Here is a 25,462-nt window from a genome sequence, read left to right on the forward strand (position 1 = left end):
GCACAATGTGCAGGTTAGTTACATGTGTATACATGTGCCATGCTGGTGTGCTGCACCCATTAACTCGTCATTTAGCATTAGGTATATCTCCTAATGCTATCCCTCCCCCCTTCCCCGACCCCACAACAGTCCCCAGAGTGTGATGTTCCCCTTCCTGTGTCCATGTGTTCTCATTGTTCAATTCCCACCTATGAGTGAGAATATGCAGTGTTTGGTTTTTTGTTCTTGCTATAGTTTACTGAGAATGATGATTTCCAATTTTATCCATGTCCCTACAAAGGACATGAACTCATCATTTTTTATGGCTGCATAGTATTCCATGGTGTATATGTGGCACATTTTCTTAATCCAGTCTATCGTTGTTGGACATTTGGGTTGGTTCCAAGTCTTTGCTGTTGTGAATAGTGCCGCAATAAACATACGTGTGCATGTGTCTTTATAGTAGAATGATTTATAATCCTTTGGGTATATAGCCAGTAATGGGATGGCTGGGTCAAATGGTATTTCTAGTTCTAGATCCCTGAGGAATCGCCACACTGACTTCCACAATGGTTGAACTAGTTTACAGTCCCACCAACAGTGTAAAAGTGTTCCTATTTTTCCATGTCCTCTTTATCACTTTAAAACTCAATAAAGTTGTGGCTGTTAGGTGCCTTTATCATTTTAAAACTCAATAAGGTTGTGGCTGTTAGGTACCTTTTCATCCCACAGTAGGCATGAAAGCTCTTAGGCACCTTAATACCCCAAACAAGATACTCTTTTCCCTTTTGTAATTAAGTGTTTTATGGAAGGTATGTTTAAATTATGTAAACATCTTATTCATCAGCAAACTTACTTATTAATTTGTATCTGTACAGAATCTTCCTTATTTTATTCAGTGAGTTATGATCAATTTCTACCTTTTTTCTTTTTAACTTGTTATTTGAAAATACATATAGACTCACAAGAAAAATATGTGACTCACAAGAGGTTACAAAAATAGCCAAGGGAGGTCCCCACTCAGCTTCCCCATTGATAATGTCCTTACATAACTATAATGCATTATCAAAACCAGTAAATTGATATTGGCACAATACAGTCAAGTGGACTACAGACGCTAATCAGATTTCACAAGTTTTTGCATGCACTCAGTTATTCTAATGCATATATGTGTAATTCTGTAAAATTTAAACACATGTATAGCTTTATGTAACCGCCATCATAATCAAGATACAGAAGTGCTCTGTCACTGTGAAGGAATTCCCTTGTGCCTTCCCTTTTCTAGTCACACCCTGTTCCCTCAAGCCAGCCTTCTTTAACCCCTGAAAGCCAGTGATCTGTTTTTCTACTGTATAATTTTGTCATTTTGAGAAGTTATATAGATGGAATCCAACATGTTACATAGATGGAACATAACATGTAAACTTTGAGATGTGTTCTTCTTACTCAGCATACTCACCTGGAGATCCATTCAACTTGTGTGTATCAGTAGTTAATTTCTTTGTATTGGTCAGCATTCCATTATTTGGAATTTATACAGTATGTTTATCCATTCACCTGTTGAAGGACATTGTTTCCAATGCTTATTACTAATAAAGCTGTTATGAACATTCATGTACTTTTTTTTTTATACTTTAAGTTTTGGAATACATGTGCTGAATGTTCAGGTTTGTTACATAGGTATACATGTGCCATGGTGGTTTGCTGCACCCATCAACTCGTCATCTACATTACGTATTTCTCCTAATGTTATCTCTCCCCTTGCTTCCTACCCCACAACAGGCCCCAGTGTGTGATGTTCCCCTCCCTGTGCCCATATATTCTCAACTCCCACTTATGAGTGAGAACATGGAGTGTTTGGTTTTCTATTCCTGTGTTAGTTTGCTGAGAATGATGGTTTCCAGCTTCATCCATGTCCCTCCAAAGGACATGAACTCATTCTTTTTTATGGCTGCATAGTATTCCATGGTATATATGTGCCACATTTTCTTTATCCAGTCTAATATTGATAGGGATTTGGGTTGGTTCTAAGTCTTTGTTATTGTGAATAATGCTGCAGTAAACATACATGTGCATGTGTCTTTATAGTAGAATGATTTATAATCGTTGGGGTATATACCCAGTAATGGGATTGCTGGTCAAATGGTATTCTAGTTCTAAATCCTTGAGGAATCACCACACTGTCTTCCACAATGGTTGAACTAATTTACACTTCCACCAACAGCATAAAAGCATTCTTGTTTCTCCACATCCTCTCCAGCATCTGTTGTTTCCCAACTTTTTAATGATTGCCATTCTAACTGGTGTGAGATGGTATCTCAGTGTGGTTTTGATTTGCATTTCTCTAATGACCAGTGATGATGAGCTTTTTTTCATGTTTGTTGGCTGCATAAATGTCTTCTTTTGAAAAGTGTCTGTTTATATCCTTCGCCCACTTTTTGATGGGGTTGTTTGTTTTTTTCTTGTACATTTGTTTAAGTTCCTTGTTTTCATTCTTAAGTAAATTAAGTTTCCTTGATTTTTGTTCTTTTGCATTTGCTGAGGAGTGTTTTACTTCCAGTTATGTGGATCTCAGCCCTTTTTCAGATGGATAGACTGCAAAATTTTCTACCATTCTGGAGGTTGCCTGTTTACTCTAATGATAGTTTCTTTTGCTGTGCAGAAGCTCTTTAGTTTAATTAGATCTAATTTGTCAAGTTTGGCTTTTGTTGCCATTGCTTTTGGTGTTTTAGTCATGAAACCTTTGCCCATGCCTATGTCCTGAATGGTATTGCCTAGGTTTTTTTGTAGGGTTTTTATGGTTTTAGGTCTTACATTTAAGTCTTTAATCCATCTTGAGTTAATTTTTGTATAAGGTGTAAGGAAGGGATCCAGTTTCACTTTTCTGCATATGGCTAGTCAGTTTTCCCAGCACTATTTATTAAATAGGGAATCCTTTCTCCATTGCTTTTGTCAGGTTTGTCAAAGATCAGATGGTTGTAGATGTGTGGTGTTATTTCTGAAGCCCCTGCTCTGTTCCATTGGTCTATGTATCTGTTTTGGTACCAGTACCATGCTGTTTTGGTTCCCGTAGCCTTGTAGTATAGTTTGAAGTCAGGTAGCATGATGCCTCCAGCTTTGTTCTTTTTGCTTAGGATTGTTGTGGCTATACGGGCTCTTTTTTGGTTCCATATGAACTTTAAAGTAGTTTTTTCTAATTCTGTGAAGAAAGTCAATGGTAGCTTGATGAGGATAGCATTGAATCTATAAATTACTTTGGACAGTATGGCCATTTCACAATATTGATTCTTCCTATCCATGAGCATGGAATGTTTTTCCATTTGTTTGTGTCCTCTCTTATTTCCTTGAGCAGTGGTTTGTAGGTCTCCTTGAAGACATCCTTCACATCCATTGAATGTTGTATTCCTAGGTATTTTATTCTCTTTGTAGCAATTGTGAATGGGAGTTTGCTCGTGATTTGGCTCTCTATTATTGGTGTATAAGAATGCTTGTGATTTTTGCACATTGATTTTGTATCCTGAGACTTTGCTGAAGTTGCCTATCAGCTTAAGGAGTTTTTGGGCTGAGATGATGGGGTTCTCTAAATATACAATCGTGTCATCTGCAAACAGAGATAATTTGACTTCCTCTCTTCCTATTTGAATACCCTTTATTTCTTTCCCTTGCCCGATTGCCCTGGCCAGAACTTCCAATACTGTGTTGAATAGCAGTGGTGAGAGGCCATCCTTGCATTGTGTCGGTTTTCAAAGGGAATGTTTCCAGCTTTTGCCCATTCAGTATGATATTGGCTGTGGGTTTGTCACAAATAGCTCTTATTTTTTTGAGACATGTTCCATCAATACCTAGTTTATTGAGTGTTTTTAGCATGAAGGGGTGTTGAATTTTATCGAAGGCCTTTTCTGCATCTATTGAGATAATCATGTGGTTTTTTGTTATTGGTTCTGTTTATGTGATGGATTACATTTATTGATTTGTGTATGTTGAACCAGCCTTACATCCCAGGGATGAAGCTGACTTGATCTTGGTGGATAAGCTTTTGAATGTGCTGCTGGATTAGGTTTGCCAGTATTTTATTGAGGATTTTTGCATCGATGTTTATCAGGTATATTGGCCTGAAATTTTCTTTTTTGTTGTGTCTCTGCCAGGTTTTGGTATCATGATGATGCTGGCCTCATAAAATGAGTTAGGGAGGAGTCCCTCTTTTTCTATTGTTTGGAATAGTTTCAGAAGGAATGGTACCAGCTCCTCTTTGTACCTCTGGTAGAATTCGGCTGTGAATCCATCTGGTCCTGGGCTTTTCTTGGTTGGTAGGCTATTATTGCCTCAATTTCAGAACTTGTCATTGGACTGTTCAGGGATTTGACTTCTTCCTGGTTTAGTCTTGGGAGGGTGTATGTGTCGAGGAATTTATCCATTTCTTCTAGATTTTCTAGTTTATTTGCGTAGAGGTGTTTGCAGTATTCTCTGATGGTAGTTTGTATTTCTGTGGGATCAGTGGTGATCTGCCCTTTATCATTTTTTATTGTGTCTATTTGATTCTTCTCTCTTTTCTTCTTTATTAGTCTGGCTAGTGGTCTATCTATTTTGTTAATCTTTTCGAAAAACCAGCTCCTGAATTCGTTGATTTTTTTGGAAGGGTTTTTCGTGTCTCTATTTCCTTCAGTTCTGCTCTGATCTTAGCTATTTCTTGTCTTCTGCTAGCTTTTGAATTTGTTTGCCCTCGCTTCTCTAGTTCTTTTAATTGTGATGTTAGGGTGTCGATTTTAGATCTTTCCTGCTTTCTCCTGTGGGCATTTAGTGCTATAAATTTCCCTCTACACACTGCTTTAAATGTGTCCCAGAGATTCTGGTATGTTGTGCCTTTGTTCTCATTGGTTTCACAGAATTTATTTCTTGCTGCCTTGATTTCGTTATTTAGCCAGTAGTCATTCAGGAGCAGGTTATTTAGTTTCCATGTAGTTGTGCGGTTTTGAGTTTTCTTTTCTCTTTTCTTTTCTCTTTTCTTTTCCTTTCCTTTCCCTTTCCCTTTCCTTTCCTTTCCTTTCCTTTCTTTTCTTTTCTTTCCACCCTGCCCTCCTTTCTTCTTCTTCTTTTTTTTTTTTTTTTTCCGAGTCTCACTCTGTTGCCCAGGCTGGAGTGCAGTGGCGCGATCTCGGCTTACTGCAAGCTCTGCCTCCTGGGTTCACGCCATTCTCCTGCCTCTGCCTCCCAAGTAGCTGGGACTACAGGTGCCTGCCACCACGCCTGGCTAATTTCTTTTTGTATTTTTAGTAGAGACAGGGTTTCACTGTGTTAGTCAGGATGGTCTCGATCTCCTGACCTTGTGATCCACCCGCCTCGGCCTCCCAAAATGCTGGGGTTACAGATGTGAGCCACCGCACCCGGCTGAGTGAGTTTCTTAATCCTGAGTTCTAATTTGATTGCACTGTAGTCTGAGGGACTGTTTGTTATGATTTTCATTCTTCTGCATTTTCTGAGGAGTGTTTTACTTCCAATTATGTGGTCAATTTTAGAATAAGTGCTATGTAGTACTGAGGAGAATGTATATTCTGTTGATTTGGGGTGTAGAGTTCTGTAGATGTCTATTAGGTCTGCTTGGTCCAGACCTGAGTTCAATTCCTGAATATCCTTGAGCTGAGTTCAAGTCCTGAATATCCTTGTTAATTTTCTGTCTCGTTGATTTGTCTAATATTGACAATGGGGCTTTAAAGTCTCCCACTATTACCGTGTGGGAGTCTAAGTCTCTTTGTAGGTCGCTAAGAACTTGCTTTATGAATCTGGGTGCTCTTGTATTGGGTGCATATATATTTAGGATAGTTAGCTCTTCTTGTTGCATTGATCCGTTTACCATTATGTAATGCTCTTCTTTGTCTTTTTTGATCTTTGTTGGTTTAAAGTCTGTTTTATCAGAGACTAGGATTTCAACCCCTGTTTTTTTTTGTTGTTTTGTTGTTGTTGTTATTTTTTGCTTTCCATTTGCTTGGTAGATCTCCCTCCATCCCTTTATTTTGAGCCTATGTGTGTCTTTGCACATGAGATGCGTCTCCTGAATACAGCACACCAATGGGTCTTGACTCTTTATCCAGTTTGCCAGTCTGTGCATTTTAATTGGGGCATTTAGCTCATTTACATTTAAGGTTACTATTGTTAGGTGTGAATTTGATCCTGTCATTATGATGCTAGCTGGTTATTTTGCCCATTAGTTGATGTAGTTTCTTCATAGTGTTGATGGTCTTTACATTTTATTATTATTATTATTATTTTTGCAGTGACTGGTACTGGTTTTTCCTTGCCATATTTAGTGCTTCCTTCAGGAGGTCTTGTAAGGCAGGCCTGGTGGTGACAAAATCCCTCAGCATTTACCTGTCTGTAAAGGATTTTATTTCTCCTTCACTTATGATGCTTAGTTTGGCGGGATATGAAATTCTGGGTTGAAAATTCTTTTCTTTAAGAATGTTGAATGTTGGCCCCCACTCTCTTCTGGCTTGTAGGGTTTCTGCCAAGAGATCTGCTGTTAGTCTGATGGGCTTCCCTTTATGGGTAACCTGACCTTTGTCTCTGGCTGCCCTTAATATTTTTTCCTTCATTTCAACCTTGGTGAATCTGACGATTATGTGTTTTGGGGTTGCTCTTCTTGAGGAGTATCTTTGTGGTGTTCTCTGTATTTCTTGAATTTGAATGTTGGTCAGTCTTGCTAGGTTGGGGAAGTTCTCCTGGATAATATCCTGCAGAGTGTTTTCCAACTTGGTTCCATTCTCCCTGTCACTTTCAGGTACACCAATCAAACGTACGTTTAGTCTTTTCACATAGTCCCATATTTCTTGTCTTCACACTTTATTTCATGAAGTTGATCTTCAGTCTCTGATATCCTTTCTTCCACTTGGTCGATTCAGCTATTGATACTTATGTATGCTTCTCGAATTTCTCATGCTGTGTTTTTCAGCTCCAGCAGGTCATTTATGTTCATCTCTAAACTGGTTATTCTAGTTAGCAATTCCTCTAACCTTTTATCAATGTTCTTAGCTTCCTTGCATTGGGTTAGAACATGTTCCTTTAGCTCGGAGAAGTTTGTTATTACCCACCTTCTGAAGCCTACTTCTGTCAATTTGTCAAACTTATTCTCCATCCAGTTTTGTTGCTGGTGAGAGTTGTGATCCTTTGGAGGAGAAGAGGCATTCTGGTTTTGGAATTTTCAGCCTTTTTGCACTGGTTTTTCCTCATCTTTGTGGATTTATCTACCTTTGGTCTTTGCTGTTGGTGAACTTCAGATGGAGTTTTTGCGTGGTCGTTCTTTTTGTTGATGTTGATGCTTTTGCTTTCTGTTTGTTAGTTTTCCTTCTAACAGTCAGGCCCCTCTGCTGCAGGTCTGCTGGAGTTTACTGGGGGTCCACTCCAGACCCTGTTTGCCTGGGTATCACCAATGAAGGCTGCAGAACAGCAAAGTTTGCTGCCTTCTCCTACCTCTGAAGTTTTGTCCCAGAGGGGCACCCGCCAGATGCCAGCCAGGGCTCTCCTGTGTGAGGTGTCTGTCGACCCCTGCTGGTAGGTGTCTCCCCACCAGGAGGCACGGGGGTCAGGGACCCACTTGTGGAGGCATTCTGTCCCTTAGCAGGGCTCGAGGGCTGTCCTGGGAGATCTGCTGCTCTATTCAGAGCTGGCAGGCAGGAACGTTTAAGTCTGCTGAAGCTGTGCCCACAGCTGCCCCTTCCCCCAGGTGCTCTGTCCCAGGGAGATGGGAGTTTTATCTATAAGCCCCTGACTGGGGCTGCTGCCTTTCTTTCAGAGATGCCCTGCCCAGAGAGGAGGAATCTAGAGAGGCAGTCTGGGCTTCACCCAGTTGGAAATTCCCAGCGGCTTTGTTTACACTGTGAGGGGAAAACTGCCTACTCAAGCCTCAGTAATGGTGGATGCCCCTCCTCTCACAAAGCTTGAATATCCTAGGTCGACTTCAGGCTGCTCTGCTGGCAGTCAGAATTTCAGGCCAGTCGATCTTAGCTTGCTGGACTCCTTGGGGGTGGGATCCACTGAGCTAGACCACTTGCCTTCCTGGCTTCAGCCCCCTTTCCAGAGGAGTGAACGGTTCTGTCTTGCTGGCATTCCAGGCGCCACTGGAGTATGAAAAGAAAACTCCTGCAACTATCTCGGTGTCTGCCCAAATGGCCGCTCAGTTTTGTGCTTGAAACCAGGGCCCTGGTGGTATAGGCACCCAAGGGAATCTCCTGGTCTGTGGGTTTCGAAGACTGTGGGAAAAGCCTAGTATCTGGGCTGGAACAGTCCTCATGGCTTCCCTTGGTTAGGGGAGGGAGTTCCCCAACCCGTTGTGCTTCCCGAATGAGGCGACACCCCCACCCTGCTGCTGCTCACCCTCTGTGGGCTGCACCCACTGTCTAACCAGTCTCAATGAGATGAACTGGGTACCTTAGTCGGAAATGCAGAAATCACCTGCCTTCTGCGTTGGTCTTGCTGGGAGCTGCAGACTGGAGCTGTTCTATTTGGCCATCTTGCCCGGGAATCCCTCATGTACTTGTTATTACATGACCATAAGTTTTTTATTTCTCTATGACAGTGGGTCTCAACTAGGAGTGATTTTACCTCTCAGGGAACATGGGAAATGTCTGAAGACATTTTTGATTGTAATGACTAGGAAAGAAATGCTACTGGTGTCTAGTAAATAAAACATAGAGGTGCTGTGGAATATCCTAGAATGCACAAGACAGTCCTCCACAACAAAGAATTGTTTCAAAATGTCAGTGCTGAGGTTGAGAAACTGCACTAGGATTAAGACCCAGGAGTGTGATTATTGAGTTGTACGTAAGTATATGTTTAATTTTATAGGAAACTGCCAGAGTGTTTTCCAGAGTGGTTATAACATTTTGCATTTCCAATAACAATGTGTGAGAGATCAAGTTCCTCCACATCCTCATCAGCATTTATACTGTCAGTATTTTTTATATTTTTATTTTTTTGAGATGGAGTCTCACTCTGTCACCCAGGCTGGAGTGCAGTAGCATGATCTCAGCTCAGTAGCAGGATCTCAGCTCACTGCAACCTCTGCCTCCCGGGTTCAAGCGATTCTCCTGCCTCAGCCTCCCGAGTAGCTGGGACTACAGGTGCGTACCACCACGCCTAGCTAATTTTTATATTTTTAGTAGAGATGGGGTTTCACCATATTGGTGAGGCTGGTCTTGAACTCCTGACCTTGTGATCTGCCCACCTTGGCCTCCCAAAGTGCTGGGATTACAGGCGTAAGCTACCACGCCTGTCCACTGTCAGATTTTTTTTTTTTTTAATTTAGCCTTCCTGATTGGTATATAGGGGTTATCTCATTATTGCTTTAATTTGCATTTCTCTACTACTGACAATGAACATTTTTAATATGCCCATTTACTATCTATATGTTTTCTATTAAAATTGTTTTGCTCATTTTCTAATTGCATTTTTTTTACTGTTGAATTTAGAGAATCTTTATATATTCTGGATACAAATTCTTTATTAGATTTCAGACTTGCAAATTTTTACATTGTACAAAACCAAGTTTTCTTATTCTATTTATTGTTACTATTGTAATTTGTTTTGATGCTCAAAATACAGATTTGGTGGCCGGTGGCAGCCCCTTCAAGCTGGCTCTATATCCTTTTTGTATGTCCCCGTCATCTTTTGATCATGTCTTTGCTTTCTGGCACAAGATATTTCAGGCTCATCTTATACTTTTCTTTCTCCAGCTCTGGAATCAACTACTTCTCCAAGAAGCCTGTTCTTCCAGTGGAATGTGCTATTTAGAGGTTAGGATTTAAACACTAGGCATATGTGTTGCTCCCAGCCCTACACTTATTTACATTAATATTTATTTCTCTATCTGTATATATTAAAAACCATATGTTCATCTCATTTTTTACTTTTTTCTTTGTTTTTGTAACTTTCATATCTAATAGTGAGTAACCTCACTTCCAGTGTGCTTTATATAACGAATTCTCTCATTTCTTGCCAACCTCTCCCCAGCAAGGATGACCCTAACGCTCCACTTGGATTCAAACACTTTATTGTCTGTCTCCTTGGGTGGATGCTCTTTTCACCCTGCTTGGGCTTTGGCATTCCATGCTAGACCACTCCTCAACATGTATAGCACCCCTCCCTACTTGGTCTCTGACTTCCCTGTGTCAGAATGCTCATCACCCTCAACGTATGGACACTCTCCCCACCCCACGTAGGTTCTGACTCCCCATGCTGAACTACCCCCTCACATGGATTTCTTCCTCATGCTGCATAGGCTCATGACACCTCACATTGGTCTCCCTCTACTTGGATGCCCTCATCTTGTTTAGGATTTGACTCAAGATGTCAGGCTACGCCATTTAGACAGCCTCCTCACTCAGGTTCTGACATTCAAGGTCAGACTGACTCCTGTCACCCTGCTTGAGTAGTGACTCACCACACTGCCCTTACCCTGTATGACACCCTTCTCATCCTGCAGGAAATCTGACTTCCCAGCCTAGGCTATCTCTCTGTGTAGGTATTTTCCTTCTCTACTGCAGCTCTGCCACTCCATGTAAGGCCACCCCAGTGTGGAGACACCTACCTCATTCTGCTTGGGCTCTAACTCCACATGTCTGGTGGACCTCCCTCTTCATGGAAGCCCTCCATATCCTGATTTGGTGCTTTTATTGCACACTAAGCCACACGTCTGCAGAGACTGTCTTCTTGCCCTGCTTGAATTCTAATACTCTGTGCTAGGACACTTCTTTACATGGGCACCTTCCTTACCCTAATGAGATTCTGATACCTTGCTCTGGCCCGTTGTCACTCCATTTGCTACAGATTCCCGCCTTGTTCTGCCTACCTAATGGTTTTAAGATTGTATTGTTTGGGATGGGAAAGATAAAAGAAAGGGAGAATAGAAACACAGGAGAGGGGAAAGAGAATAGGAAGCTTATTTTTTGTTACTTTGTGATTAATATATCTTTTCTCTCCTTTTACTTTCAACCTATCTGTGACCTCACAGTAAAGTGCATCACTTGTCAATGTCATATGGTTGAATGTTATTCATTTTTAATCTTGTCTGTTAATCTTTATCTTATAACTGAGATATTTAGTTCATTTACATTTAATATAATTATTGAGCTAGTTGATTTTGCTATCCTCTATTATTTTAGATTAATTAATTATTTTTATTCCATGCTATTTTCTCTATTGGCTTCTTTTACTTTTTTTTCTTTTAGTGGTTATTCTAGAGATTATAATATACTTCCTTGACTGTATAGTTTACCTTAAATTAGTACTTTTTTCGCTTTATGAGCAGCAAAGTATCTTAGGACAGTTGAACTCTATTTACTCACTCCTCCTATTTGTGCTTTTGTTGTCATATATTTCTGTTCTACATGTTCTGAATCCCACAGGACATTATTATTGTTGCTTTGAACAAACAACATTCTTTTCCATATATATGTATATAAGAAATATAAAGCAACGTAAAATATGTATATATACACAAGAGTGTATGTATGTATATGTACATGTATATATTTACATACACACATCCTTTAAGTGTTCTGCATTCTTTCTAGCAGTTCTGTACTATGTTGGATCATTTTCCTTCAGCCTAAAAAATTTCCTTTAGTATTTCCTGAAGTCTTCTGGGGATTATCTTAGTTTTTATTTGTTTGGTTTAAGAAATGTATTTCAGTTGGTTATAGAATTGTAGGTTTTTATTTCAGCACTTTAAAGAGCTACTATCTTTGTTGAAAGGCCAAGTGTCGTTCTTATTTTTGCACCTTTGATTTTCAGCAGTTTGGCTTTGATGCCCCAAGAGTTGGTTTTTCTTAGTATTACTTTGTGTTCACTGAGCTTCTTAACTCAGTAGATTAAGTCTTCTACCTGTTTTGGAAAATTCTTACCCATTAACTCATAAATATTGTTTCTGCACTCTTCCCTCTTCTCCTAGGAGTAAGATTACACATGTATTGGATTATATGACTGTGCCCCGTGAGTCTCTTATGCTGTCATCCGTTCGTTCTTTTTATGTTTGGCAGTTTTCTGTAGACTTTTTGAATTTACAAATTATTTTTACACAGTGTCTATTTGCTTCTACTACAGTTGAATCAGATTTTAGATAATGTATTTTTATTCTGAAATATTCATTTCTTTTTTTAATAGATTGTAGTTTTCTGTTGAGATTTTCCATATTTTATCTATTTCCCTTTATCTTTTGCTCTCAATATATTAATAACCATTTTGAAGTCTTTTTGTGCTAACTAGTAGCTAAATCCCCTGTAAATCAGTTTTTCTTGTCTATTTTTTCCTCTCAATTTTTGATCATTTTTTCCTGCTTCATATGTTACATAATGTTTTGTGTGTTGGATATTGTAAATAAGAGGATAATAGAGATTGAGGGTATTTGCATCTAGAGGGACTAGAAAAACAAGAGCAAGCCAACCCCAAAGCTAACAGAAGAAAATAAATAACGAAAATTAGAGCTGAACTGTATGAAATTGAGATGCGAAAATCCATACAAAAGATTAACTAAACCAAAAGTTGATTCTTCCAAAGAATAAACAAGATTGACAGACCACTAACTAAATTGTTAAAGAAAAAAGAAGACAAAATAAGTACAATCAGAAATGACAAAGGTGACATTATCACTGACTCCACAGAAATACACACACACACACACACACACACACACACACACACAAACTCAGAGACTATTATGAACACCTATTCACACACAAACTAGGAAACCTAGAAGAAATGGATAAATTCCTGGAAATATACAATCTCCCAAGATTGAGCCAGGAAGAAATGGAAATCATGAACAGACCAATAATGAGTTCTGAAATTGAGTCAGTAATAAAAAACTTCTTCACGACAAAAGAAACCGTCAGCATAGTAAATGAACAACGTACAGAATGGGACAAAATATTTGCAAACTGTGCATCCAACAAAGGTCTAATATCCAGAATCTGTAAGGAACTTAAGCAGTTCAACAAGCAAAGAACAACCCTATTTAAAAAATGGGCAAAGGACATGAACAGACGCTTCTCAAAAGAAGACATACTTGCAGCCAACAAATATATGAAAAAATGTTCCACATTACTAATCATTCAAGAAGTGCAAATGAAAACCACAATGAGATACCATCTCATGTTAGTCAGAATGTCTATTAATAAAAAGTAAAAAAAATAACAGGTGTTGGTGAGGTTGCAGAAGAAAGGGAAGGCTTGTACACTGTTGGTGGGAACATAACATAGTTCAGCCACTGGGGAAAACTGTGGAGATTCCTTAAAGAGCTTAAAACAGAACTACCATTCAACTCAGCAGTCCCATTACTGGGTATATACCCAAAACAAAATAAATCATTCTACTGAAAAAACACATATAATCAATATCATATTATTGCTATTCACAATAGCAAAGACATGGAATACAAAAAACAATTTTTGCTTTAAGCCTGACAGATCTTTGGTTTTTCAACAACTAAATATTGTAAGAACTCAGTTGAGGCTTTCAGGTGTTTGAACTCAGCTCTTTAGACTCTTTGCCCTCACAACTTTAGAATATGGTAAATGTTGTAAGGGGAACAACAGTCATGCATTTCTTGCAGTTAAACTTTCTCAAGGGAAATTCATTTCATTAGTACTCTTGCAAATAATTTTACTGTTTTTCTGACTCAGCCCCTTTATTGGGGTTGGCCCTTCTGACTTTTGACTGAGAGTCTAGTGAGTCTTTAATTCCTTACCTTTAAAAGTTCTCTCCCTCAAGCATTAGTTATTAAGCCCCCTGCCTTAAGCAGGTACAACATTTGGCAAATGTTTTAAGGAGGAGAGCTGATGTGTGTTTGTCCCAGGCCTCTCCATCTAGTGGGACTTGGTTTCTTATAGTGCCATGAGTATGAATGAGATTTCAGTCTATTACTCTGACTCAGCCCCCAGCCTCCCATACCACCAAAAAAAGGGAAATTGACCTTTTTTTTCTTTTCTCATAATTGTCCTTTTCAATTAGTGAATGGTAGACATACGGTAGAGACTCAAAAGTTCTACTTTTGTGATATATTCTAGATATTACTCTAATACAATATGACATTATTCTCTTTTCTTGAAACTTTATTTTCAAGTGATTTTTTGAAAGTTTTAGTCTTTTTTTTTTTTTTTTTCTTATAGAGACAAGGTGTTGCTCTGTTACCCAGGCTCTGGAGTACAGTGGTGCAGTCACGGCTCACTGCTGCCTCGAACTCTTGGTCTCAAGCAGTCCTCCTGCCTCAGCCTCCTCAGTTGCTGGGACTATAGGCGCATGCCACTGTGCCTATTTTTTTTATGTTTTGTAGAGACGATCTTGCTGCATTGCCCAGGGTGACCTCTAACTCCTTGGCTCAAGTGATCCTCCTGCCTCAGCCTCCCAAAGAACTGGGATCACAGATGTGAGGCACTGTGCCAGGCCTTATTTTCAAGTAATTTTAGAGTTACAAAAAAGAAACACGTATAGTAGAGTTCCTTATACCACTCTTCTAGCTTCTCCTGTTGTTAACATCTTTTTTTTTCATTTTATTTTTATTTTTATTTTTTTGAAGACAGAGTTTTGCTCTTGTTGCCCAAGTTGGAGTGCAATGGCGCAATCTCGGTTCATTGCAACCCCTGCCCGCTGGGTTCAAGTGATTCTCCTGCCTCAGCCTCCTGAGTAGCTGGGATTACAGGCATGCACCACCACGCCTGGCTAATTTTTGTATTATTAGTAGAGATGGGGTTTCACCATGTTGGCCAGGCTGGTCTCGAACTTTTGACCTCAGGTGATCCACCCACCTCAGCCTCCCAAAATACTGGGATTACAGGCGTGAGCCACCACGCCTGACCTATTTTTTATTTTTAAACTTTTAGGTTCAGGGGGTACATGTTCCAATTTGTTCTATAGGTAAACTTGTGTCATGGGGGTTTGTTTTACAGATTATGTCATCACCCAGGTACTAAGCGTGGTACCCAGTAGTTTTTTTTTTTTTTCTGTTTGTCTCCCCTGTCCCTCCACCCTCAAGTAGGCCCCAGTGTCTGTTGTTCCCCTCTTTGTGTCCATGAGTTCTCATCATTTAGCTCCCACTTATAAATGTGAGGATGCAGTATTTGGTTTTCTGTTCCTGCATTAGTTTGCTAAGGATAATGACCTCCAGCTCCATCCATGTTCTGCAAAAGACATGATCTTGTTCTTTTATATGGCTGCATAGTATTCTATGGTGTAAGTGTACCACATTTTCTTTATCCAGTCTGTCATTTATGGGGCATTTAGGTTGATTCATGTCTTTGTTATTGTGAATAGTACTATAATGAACATTTGTGTGCACGTGTCTTTATGGTAGAATGACATATATTTCTTTGGGTATGTACACAGCAATGGATTGCTGAGTCAAATGGTGCATCTGGTTTTAGCTCTATGAGGAATTGCCACACTGCTTTCTACAATGGTTGAACTAATTTACACTCCCACAAACAGTGTATAACCACTCCCTTTTCTCTGCAACCTTGACAGCATCTGTTATATTTTGACTTTTTTATAACAGCCATTCTGATTGATGTGAAATGGTATCTCATTGTGGTTTTGATTTGCATTTATGTAATCAGTGATATTGAGCTTTTTTCATATGCGTGGTGGCTGCATATATATCTTCTTTTAAAAAGTGTCTGTCATGTCCTTTGCCCACTAAGTTCCTTGTAAATGCTGGATACTAGACCTTTATCAGATGCATAGTTTGCAAATATTTTCTTCCATTCTATAGGTTGTCTGTTTGCTCTGTTGATAATTTTTCTTTTGCTGTGCAGAAGCTCTTATGTTTAATTAGATCCCACTTGTCAGTTTTTGCTTTCGTTGCAATTGCTTTTGGTGTCTTCGTCGTGAAATTGCCTGTTTCTGTGTCTGGAATGGTATTGTCTAGGTTGCATATGTGGTATCCACATCATCACTGGTGATGTTAACTGATCACTTGGATAAGGCAGTGCTTGCTAGGTGTCTCCAAGATGGAAATAAGTTACTATTTCTTCCTTCTTATACTCTGTTTTTTGAAATCCAGTCACTTAGTTCAGTGCATACACAAAGGAGGAGGGGAAGGTTAAGCTTAACCTTCTTTGGTGGGAGGTATTCACATCTGTTATCTGGACTTCTTCTTAAAGCAAAATTTGCTTCTTCTTTCCAATTATTTATGTGTTCAATTATTTACTTGCTCCACTCTGTTTTAATATTAATTCCCTATGATCTCAAGATATAACTGCAACCTTGAAAACTCCTAGTTCTCCCAGAACTCCTTGACAGAATGCTCTGTTTCTTGTTTATCTTTGTACACTGTGTGTATTTAGCACAGTCCCCTAATTTATGGTGGACATCTAGTAATTTAAAAAAATGTATTTTCAATTCAGCTGAAAAATAGCATTTCCTCAACTAAATTATATAATTTAACATTCTAAATTAAAAGTAGGTTTTAAGATAAAAGTAAACATGTGTGATAACATTGTATCAAACAAAATAAAGGGTACTGCTGAAATTTTACCTTAATAACGTTTGACATTGATGTGTCCACAATATATTCCTATAGCTACTTAAATATTCCTTGAAACCACTTTTGGAAAGAGATTTCAGTCTCTAATGGCCAAGGATATAATCTGCTGTATTCTTTCTCTTTTTTGGTCAGATTACCAGAGAAGATGAAGACCCCACTTTCTGCTTTCTCTGAAAAATTGTCATCTGATGCAGTCACTCAGATAACAACAGAAAGTCCAGAAAAGACCCTATTTTCATCTGAGATTTTTATTAATGCTGAAGATCGTGGACATGAAATTATAGAGCCTGGTAACCAGAAGCTACGCAAAGCTCCTGTCAAGTTTGCCTCATCATCTTCAGTCCAACAGGTTACTTTTTCTCGCGGCACAGATGGTAAGAGAATGTGATTGCATTTTAGATTGTTAGACCAGCTCTTTTGTGTAGTTATCTTAGAAATTTGTGGTTGTGTCTTTCTAGTCAGAAAACCTAATTTTAATTTAAGAATTAGGGTCCATATGATTATATCTGTCTTTTATTTGCATAGCTGTCAACAGAATATGATTTATTATATTTTATCTTAATTTCAAGCACAGTTAACATGTAGAACTCATGCTGTTTGTGTTAAAACTTAGTTTTGTCTCATCATATTTGCAATAAAAATGCAAGTAGTTCATAACAACTTGAAAGTAATTGAGGTCTGCTTTTAAAATGGCGGATAAATTATCTTGTATTACAGTAACAGTAATGTTATTACTATATAGTGCGTATATAGGGAGAGTATGTATATACTAAATACTATAACAAATAGATGCATAAACATGTGATAGTGCAAACACAATAGCAGTTTATCTCTTACTTATAAAGCAATCACCAGAGACCCAGGTTGTCTTCTTGCTCTGTTTTCTTTAAAATATATAACCCAAGGTTATGTTGGATTTACCTTCATGGTCAACAGGAAGGAACAAAAAGCATTGAGGAGCACATATAGGAGATGTTTACAGGTCAGGTCTGGAAGTAACCCAAATCACTTTCCACTGGCCAGGAATGTAGTTTAGCTGTGTTTTCCAAAATGAAGAAGAAATGGATTTTGGTGAATAGGTAGCAGTCTCTACCATAAGGTGAACATTTAGAGTGTTTTATATGCTATAGTTTCAGTGATATTTTGATAGTACTTTTACCATGTAACATTTAGAATTAGACCAAATTGTAAATTATTTTCTTTTTTTGAGTAAGTAGCAGGAAAATTAACAATTAAGTTTCCATTCTTCCCCAAATGAAGATGGAGACTTTACTAATTTTTAAAATATTTACTATTTTGGACAAGTCTACTCAAAGTACATCTTAAGTTTCTCTACTTATACAAAAAACTTGTCCACCTACACACGTAGATGGAATATACCTAAATGTAAAGAAAATTGTTTAGTTCAGCATTTAAATTGCATTGAATTTAAGTAAGTGCATTTATATACTAAGATGGTTATAATTCTTGAACATTTTTCTTGTGAAATTAAAGCATACCAAAAATATATATATAGTTTAATAAATTATCACGAAGAACACCTTTATGTGTTGGTTACCTGTTGTTACAGTGGTACAGTATAACAAACAACCTAAAAAATCTCTATGGTTTATAACAGCAGACATTTGTTTTTCTTACTCACAGGCTTATGGGTCAATTGGACTTTGGCTGGGCTGGCTGTAAGCTGCAGAAATGGTTTGGGTCTGTTCCAGATACTTCTTTCTGAGACTCAGGCTAATGGGTCAATAGCTATCCTAGAGTGTGGTGTTCTCATGGTGGTGGCAGAAACACAAGAGAGGAAACAGCTATAAAAGCAGTGCGCGGTGGCTCACGCCTGTAATCCCAGCACTTTGGGAGGCCAAGGTGGGCAGATCACGAGGTCAGGAGATCGAGACCGTCCTGGCTAACACAATGAAACCCCGTCTCTACTAAAAATACAAAAAAAAAAAAAAAAAAAAATAGCCGGACACTGTGGCGGGTGCCTGTAGTCCCAGCTACTTGGGAGGCTGAGGCAGGAGGATGGCATGAACCCAGGAGGCGGAGCTTGCAGTGAGCCGAGATCGTGCCACTGCACTCCAGCCTGGGCGACACAGCGAGACTCCGTTTCCAAAAACAAAAAAAAAGCATATTTTAAACTTCTACTGTCATCAAACGGATCAATTTATAGAGGCCATGATTTATGGTTCATATAAACTTTTTATCAAAGAATCGATATTATTTGGTTTAGTAATAAGTGTTATTTTCAACACTGTGGGTCAAAAGTAAAATTTTATGAGGTGTTTTTTTTTGTTTGTTTGTTTTTTGTACAAAACATTTTAAGGTACAAAAAATCGTATGTTAACTACATGACTGCTTACCCATTAGTCTGAATTAACAAGTTCCTCTACCCCTCTCCAGTGCTTTTTTCCTTTCCCGGAAGCAGCCATTATTTGCTATGTATTCACTTCTTCCCCTAGACAGGCAGTCCAGTGTAACCTTAAGACTACTGCATCCAAACAAAGTTCTTGAGAACTTCAAAAAATTCTTTATTTGTCTCAGGTCCATCGCCATGTGATAGTCATTTCTGCTCTGGGTCCATTGTAATTTTGTCCAATCGTTGCTGTTAATTTTCTCCAACCTGTGAACTGCATGGCATATTCAGCCATTGCTATCAAGCTTAATATATACCGATGGAGAAAGAAAATTAATAAATCAGTATTCTAACAATAACTACGGGAACGACCAAATAGAATTGGAGGCTACAGCTTTTTTCTTTTTCTTTTTCCTTTTTTCCTGATAGAGTGGTACAAATATTCCTAAGTTGTCTCAGACTAAGGTTGAGGTCCTTTTTTTTTTTTTTTTTTTTTGAGATGGAGTCTCACTCTATCTCCAGGTTGGAGTGCAGTGGTGCAATCTTGGCTCACTGCAACCTGCATCTTCCGGGTTCAAGGATTCTCCTGCCTCAGCCTCCCAAGTAGCTGGGACTACAGGCGCGCACCACCACGCCCAACTAATTTTTGTATTTTTAGTAGAGATGGAGTTTCACCATGTTGGCCAGGATGATCTCGATCTCTTGACCTTGTGATCCGCCCACCTTGGCCTCCCAAAGTGTTGGGATTACAGGCGTGAGCCACTGCGCCTGGCCAAGGTCATTTTTTATTAATTTCTTGACTGGACTTTCTTTAGAGGTCACTTTGCCATGCCCAGTGATAGAAATTAATGCCTCTAGGTGTTAATCATACTCCTTTTAAAAAGTAACCTTATTTCTTGTGGATAATTCAGGTCTATCATAGATTTAGTCAGCACTCTGTAAGCTGCTCTATGTTTTGCTTTAGTGATATAAAAAATGTTAAGTAGCTAGGTGGCTCCTGTCCCTGGTAGAATTGTCCCTTTCTTATTTCTAAGATCTTCCATCTAACAACACTCATAGTCACAAAGGTTGAAAGCAAAAACTTCTTAAAAAGCTTGTTTGTTCCCAAATGCATGCATTCTATCTGGTACTCGGTATAGGCAAGTACCATCTATGGTTCAGAGCATATCCCAAATCCCATAAGAAAGCATTGTAGACTCAGAAAGTGGTGTTCCCCAGCTTATGCCATAACACTTTTCAGTAAATAGCTTGCTCACTTTATTTATTTATTTATTTTTTAGGTTTAGCATAGTTATGGTCCATAAGGCATGGATAAGGACAGTAAATCCCTTTAGGCATCAACCTTTTGTCTCATTTCCTTCATTTGGAAGTGAGTTTCTTCCTTAGAAGCAGGCTACTAACAATGTGGAATTCATTGCCAAAATGTCATCAGAATGATAGAGTTGCCAAAGATGGTGACACAGTTCTAAGTAATATAAAGATTATTGTTTCTGGCCAGGCGTGGTGGCTCACACCTATAATCCCAGCACTTTGGGAGGCCGAGGAGGGTGGATCACCTGAGGTCAGGAGTTTGAGACCAGCCTGGCCAACATAGTGAAACCTCATCTGTACTAAAAATACAAAAATTAGCCGGGCATGATGGCACATGCCTGTAATCCCAGCTACTCGGGAGGCTGAGGCAGGAGAATTGCTTGAACCCGGAAGGTGGAGGTTGCAGTAAGCAGAGATCGTGCCAGTGCACTCCAGCCTGGGCGACAGAGTGAGACTCCTTCCCCCTTCCCCACCAAAAAAAAAAAAAGATTATTGTTTCCAGAGGAGAGCTCATTCTACTCCAGGACTATCAGAATCAGTCTAGAGGATTTTGGGTTTTATTAACTAGAGATGAGCAACTAGGAGTCCATCTAGAAATGGTTACAGGATATAAGAGAAAACCGTGGTCTATAAGAATAAAGATAAACGGAAGGAGCTGGAGGCATTCGGCCATGAGAAATGGTAGCTACATTGAAAATTCATAATCATATGAGCAATACAACCCTATGAAATGCTCAGAAATAACCTAAACAAAAATTTTAAATGACCTAATGCAGGAAACACTAATCCTTTTTGTAAAGATAGAAAATAATAATTTACTAAATTAAAAGGTATGATTCTAGAATGGAAGGCTGAATATTGTAAAGGTATCATTTATTCCCACATAAATTTATACTCTAAAGTAATTCTGCACAAAGTTCTAATGGAACTGTTCTTTTGAACTGTGTAATTTATCTTTATGAATTTATTTTTATTTTTAATTTGTCTGGGTATATAGTAGACATAGATATTTATGAGGTACATGAGCTATTTTGATATAGGCATACAGTGTATAATAATCCCATCAAGGTAAATGGGATATCCATCACCTCAAGCATTTATCCATTCTTTGTGTTAACAATCCAGTTACATTATTTTGGTTATTTTATTTTTTAAGTATTTATTTTTTTTGAGATGGAGTCTTGCTCTGTCACCCAGGCTGGAGTACAGTGGCATGATCTCAGCTCACTGCAACCTCTGCCTCCTTGGTTCAAGCAATTCTGCCTCAGCCTCCTGAGTAGCTGGGATTACAGGCACCCGCCACCACGCCTGGCTAATTTTTGTATTTTTAGTAGAGAAAGGGTTTCACCATGTTGGCCAGGCTGGTCTCGAACTCCTGATCTCAAGTGATCTGCCTGCATTGGCCTCCCAAAGTGCTGGATTACAGATGTGAGCCACCATGCCTAGCTGTCTTTTGGTTATTTTAAAATGTACAGTGAATTATTGACTGTAGACCCTGTTGTGCTATCAAATACTATATCTTACTGATTATATCTGACTATATTTTTATACCCATTAACAATCCTCACTTCCCCCACACTGCTCACTACCCTTCCCAGTCTCTGGTAGCCATCTTTCTCTCTCATGTGTGTCCATGAATTCAGTTGTTTTAATTTTTAGATCCCACAAATAAGTGAGAACATGTGAAGTTTCTGTTCCTATGCCTGGCTTATTTCACTTTATATAATAACCTCCAGTTTCATCCATGTTGCTGCAAATGACAGGATCTCATTATTTTTTTTGGCTAAATAGTATTCCATTGTGCATGTACTGCCTTTGTGTATATGTACTACATTGTGTATATGTAATAGATTAATTTATCCATTAATCTATTGATGGACACTTAGGTTGCTTCTAAATTTTGGCTATGGCGAACAGTGTTGCAATAAACATGGGGTGCAGATTTATCGCTGACATACTGACTTACTTTATTTTGGTTATATACCTAGCAGTGGGATTGCTGGATCATATGTTAGCTCTAATTGTAGTTTTTTGAGGAATCTACAAACTAACTGTTCTCTATAGTGTTGTACTAATTTACATTCCCAGCAACAGTGTACAAGAGTTCCCTTTTCTCCACATTCTTGCCAACATTTGTTGTTGTATATCTTTTGAATAAAACCATTTTAACTGGGGTGAGATGGTATCTCATTGTAGTTTTGCTTTGCATTTCTCTGATGATCACTGATGTTGAGCACCTTTTCATAAGCCTGTTTGCCATTTATATGTCTTCTTTTGAGAAATGTTTGTTCAGATCTTTTGCCCGTTTTTAAATTGGATTATTAGATTTTTTTTTTCCTATAGAGTTGTTTCAGTTCTTTATACATTATGGCTACTAATCCCTTGTCAGATGGATAGTTTGCAAATGTTTCCTCCTATTCGGTGGTTTGTCTCTTCAGTGTTGTTTCCTTTGCTGTGTGAAATCTTTTTAACTTGATGTGATCACATTTGTCCATTTTTGCTTTGGTTGCCTGTATATGTGGGATATTACTCAAGAAATCTTTGCCAATATTTAATGTCCTAGAGAGTTTTCTCAGTGTTTTCTTCCTGTAGTTTCATAGCTTGAGGTCTTAGATTTAAGTCTTTAATCCATTTTGATTTGATTTCTGTATATGATGAAAGATAGAGGTTTAGCTTTATTCTTCTGCATGTAGATAACCAGCTTTCCCAGCACCATTTGTTGAAGAGACCGTCTTTTTCCCAGTGTATGTTCTTGGCACCTTTGTTGAAAATGAGTTCACTGTAGGTGTGTGGATTTGTTTCTGGGTTCTCTGGTTCTGTTTCATTGGTTTATGTGCCTGTTTTTAAGCCAGTACCATGATGTTTTGGTTATTATAGTATTGTAGTATAATTTGAAGTTAGGTATTGTGATTCCTCCAGTTTCGTTCTTTATGCTTAAGATAGCTTTGTCTATTCTGGGTCTTTTGTGGTTCCATATAAATTTTAGGATTTTTTCTATTTCTGTGAAGAATGTCATTAGTATTTTGATAGGGATTGCCTTGAATACAGATTCAGTGGAATACCCCACTGCTTTAGGTAGTATGGACATTTTAACAATATTGATTCTTCTAATTCATGAACATGGAATATTTTTCCATTTTTTTGTTGTCCTCTTCAATTATCTTCATCAGTGTTTTATAGTTTCCTTTATAGAGATCTTTCACTTCTTTGGTTAATTGCTAGGTATTTGATTTTATGTGTGGCTATTGTAAATGGGATTATTTTTAAATTTCCTTTTCACATTGTTCACTGTTGACATATAGAAATGTGAACTGATTTTTGTATGTTCATTTTTGTATTCTGCAACTTTACTGAATTTATTGATTGTGGAGGCTCTAGGTTTTTACAAATATAAGATTGTATCATTTGCAAACAAGGATAATTTGACTTCTTCCTTTCCAATCTGGATCTCCTTTCTATCTTTCTCTTGTCTGATTGCTCGAGCTAGGACTTCCAGTGCTATGTTGAATAACGGTTTTGAAAGTAGGCATTCTTGTCATGTTCCACATCTTAGAGGAAAGGCTTTCAGTTTCTTCCCCATTCAGTATGATACTAGCTGTGGGTCTGTCATATATGGCTTTTATTATGTTGAGGTATGTGTTCTCTATACCTAGTTTTTTCAGGGTTTTTATCACGAAGAGATGTTGAATTTTAAGAAATGTTTTTTCATCGTCAATTGAAATGATCATGTGGTTTTTGTCCTCCATTTTGTTGATGAGGCATCACATTGATTGATTAGCATATGTTAAACCATCCTTGCATCCCTGGGATGAATACTTCTTGGTCATGATGAATGATCTTTTTAATGTGTTGTTGAATTTGGTTTGCTAGTATTTTGTTGAGGATTTTTGCATCAATATTCATGAGGGAGATTGGCCTGTAGTTTTCTTTTCTTTTTTCTCTTTTTTTTTTTTGGATGTGTCTTTGGTTTACTGGTCTTGTAGAAGGAGTTTGGATGTATTCTCTCCTCTTCCATTTCTTGGAATAGTTTGAGTAGGATTAGTATTAGTTCTTCTTTAACTATTTGGTACAATTCGGCAGTTAAGCCATTGAGTCCTCAGCTTTTCTTTGCTGGGAGACTTTTTATTACAACTTTTACCTTGTTGCTTGTTATTGGTCTCTTTCAATTTTGGATTTCTTCCTGGTTGATAGGTTGTATGTTTCTAGGAATTTGTCCATTTTTTTCTAGCTTTTTCAATTTATTGGTGTAAAGTTGCTCATAGTAGTGTCTCATCATCCTTTAAATTTCTGTGCTATAGGTTGTAATGTCTCCCTTCTTAATCTCTGATTTTATTTACATGAGTCTTCTATTTTTCTTAGTCTGGCTAAAGGTTTGTCGATTTTGTTTATCTTTTCAACAAACAAACTTTTTGTTTCATTTTGCGATGTTTTTCTCATATCAATTTTATGTATTTTTGCTCTGATCTTTATTTCTTTTTTTCTGCTAATTATGGATTTCATTTGCTCTTTTCTAGTTCATTAGCATACGTTGTTAGGTTGTTTATTTGAAGTTTTTCTATGTTTTTTTAATGTAGGTGCTTATACCTATAAACTTTCCTCTTAGTACTGGTTTTGCTGTATCCCGTAGGTTTTGGTATGTTGTGTTTCCATTATCATTTGTCTCAAGAAATTTGTAAATTTCTTTCTTGATTTCTTCCTTGACCCACTGGTCATTCAGAAACATTATTTCATTTCCATGCATTTGTATAGTTTCCAAAGTTCCTTTCATTATTGATTTCTAGTTTTATTTCATTGTGATCAGAGAAATGACTTGATATAATTACAATTATTTTTGAATTTTTGAACACTTGTTTTGTGGCCTAAAATATGACCTGTCCTTGAGAATGATCCATGTGCTGAGAACAATGTGTATTCTGCAGCCGTTGGATGAAATGTTCTGTAAATATCTATTAGGTCCATTCAATGTATCTTCGTTGATTTTTCTGTCTGGATGATCTGTCCAATACTGAAAGCGGGGTGTTGAAGTTTACAGCTGTTATTGTATTAGGTTCTATCTCTCTCTTTAGCTGTAAGAATACTTGCTTTATATATCTGGGTACTCCACCGTTGGGTCCATATATATTTACAGTTGTTATATCCTCTTGCTGAATTGACCTCTTTATCATTATATAATGACCTTTGTCTGTTTTTATAATTTTTGTCTTAAAGTCTATTTTGTCTGATATGAGTATAGCTGTTCTTCCTCTCTTTTGGTTTCTATTTGCGTGGGATATCTTTTTCCATCCTGTTATTTTTAG

General features: G+C 38.1%; 1 protein-coding gene across 2 annotated transcripts in view, besides 1 other annotated feature; it reads left to right on the plus strand.

Moving 5' to 3' along the window:
• The window catches only part of ALMS1 (ALMS1 centrosome and basal body associated protein), a 224,162-nt gene that overhangs the window by 117,381 nt on the left and 81,319 nt on the right, over nt 1-25,462 (plus strand). For both annotated transcript variants that reach the window (NM_015120.4, NM_001378454.1), the window contains 1 exon segment: nt 16,637-16,878. In NM_015120.4, coding sequence (NP_055935.4) covers nt 16,637-16,878 — 242 coding nt within the window.
• Nucleotides 7,022-7,844: an enhancer, noted in NCBI's record as "H3K27ac hESC enhancer chr2:73737287-73738109 (GRCh37/hg19 assembly coordinates)". NCBI's record gives its function as "activates a minimal SCP1, AML or CMV promoter by ChIP-STARR-seq in naive H9 embryonic stem cells {active_cell/tissue: H9 hESC(naive)}" and the evidence as "EXISTENCE:reporter gene assay evidence [ECO:0000049][PMID:30033119]".

Source organism: Homo sapiens, chromosome 2, assembly GCF_000001405.40.
Source record: "Homo sapiens chromosome 2, GRCh38.p14 Primary Assembly".
NCBI classification, from domain to species: Eukaryota; Metazoa; Chordata; class Mammalia; order Primates; family Hominidae; genus Homo; species Homo sapiens.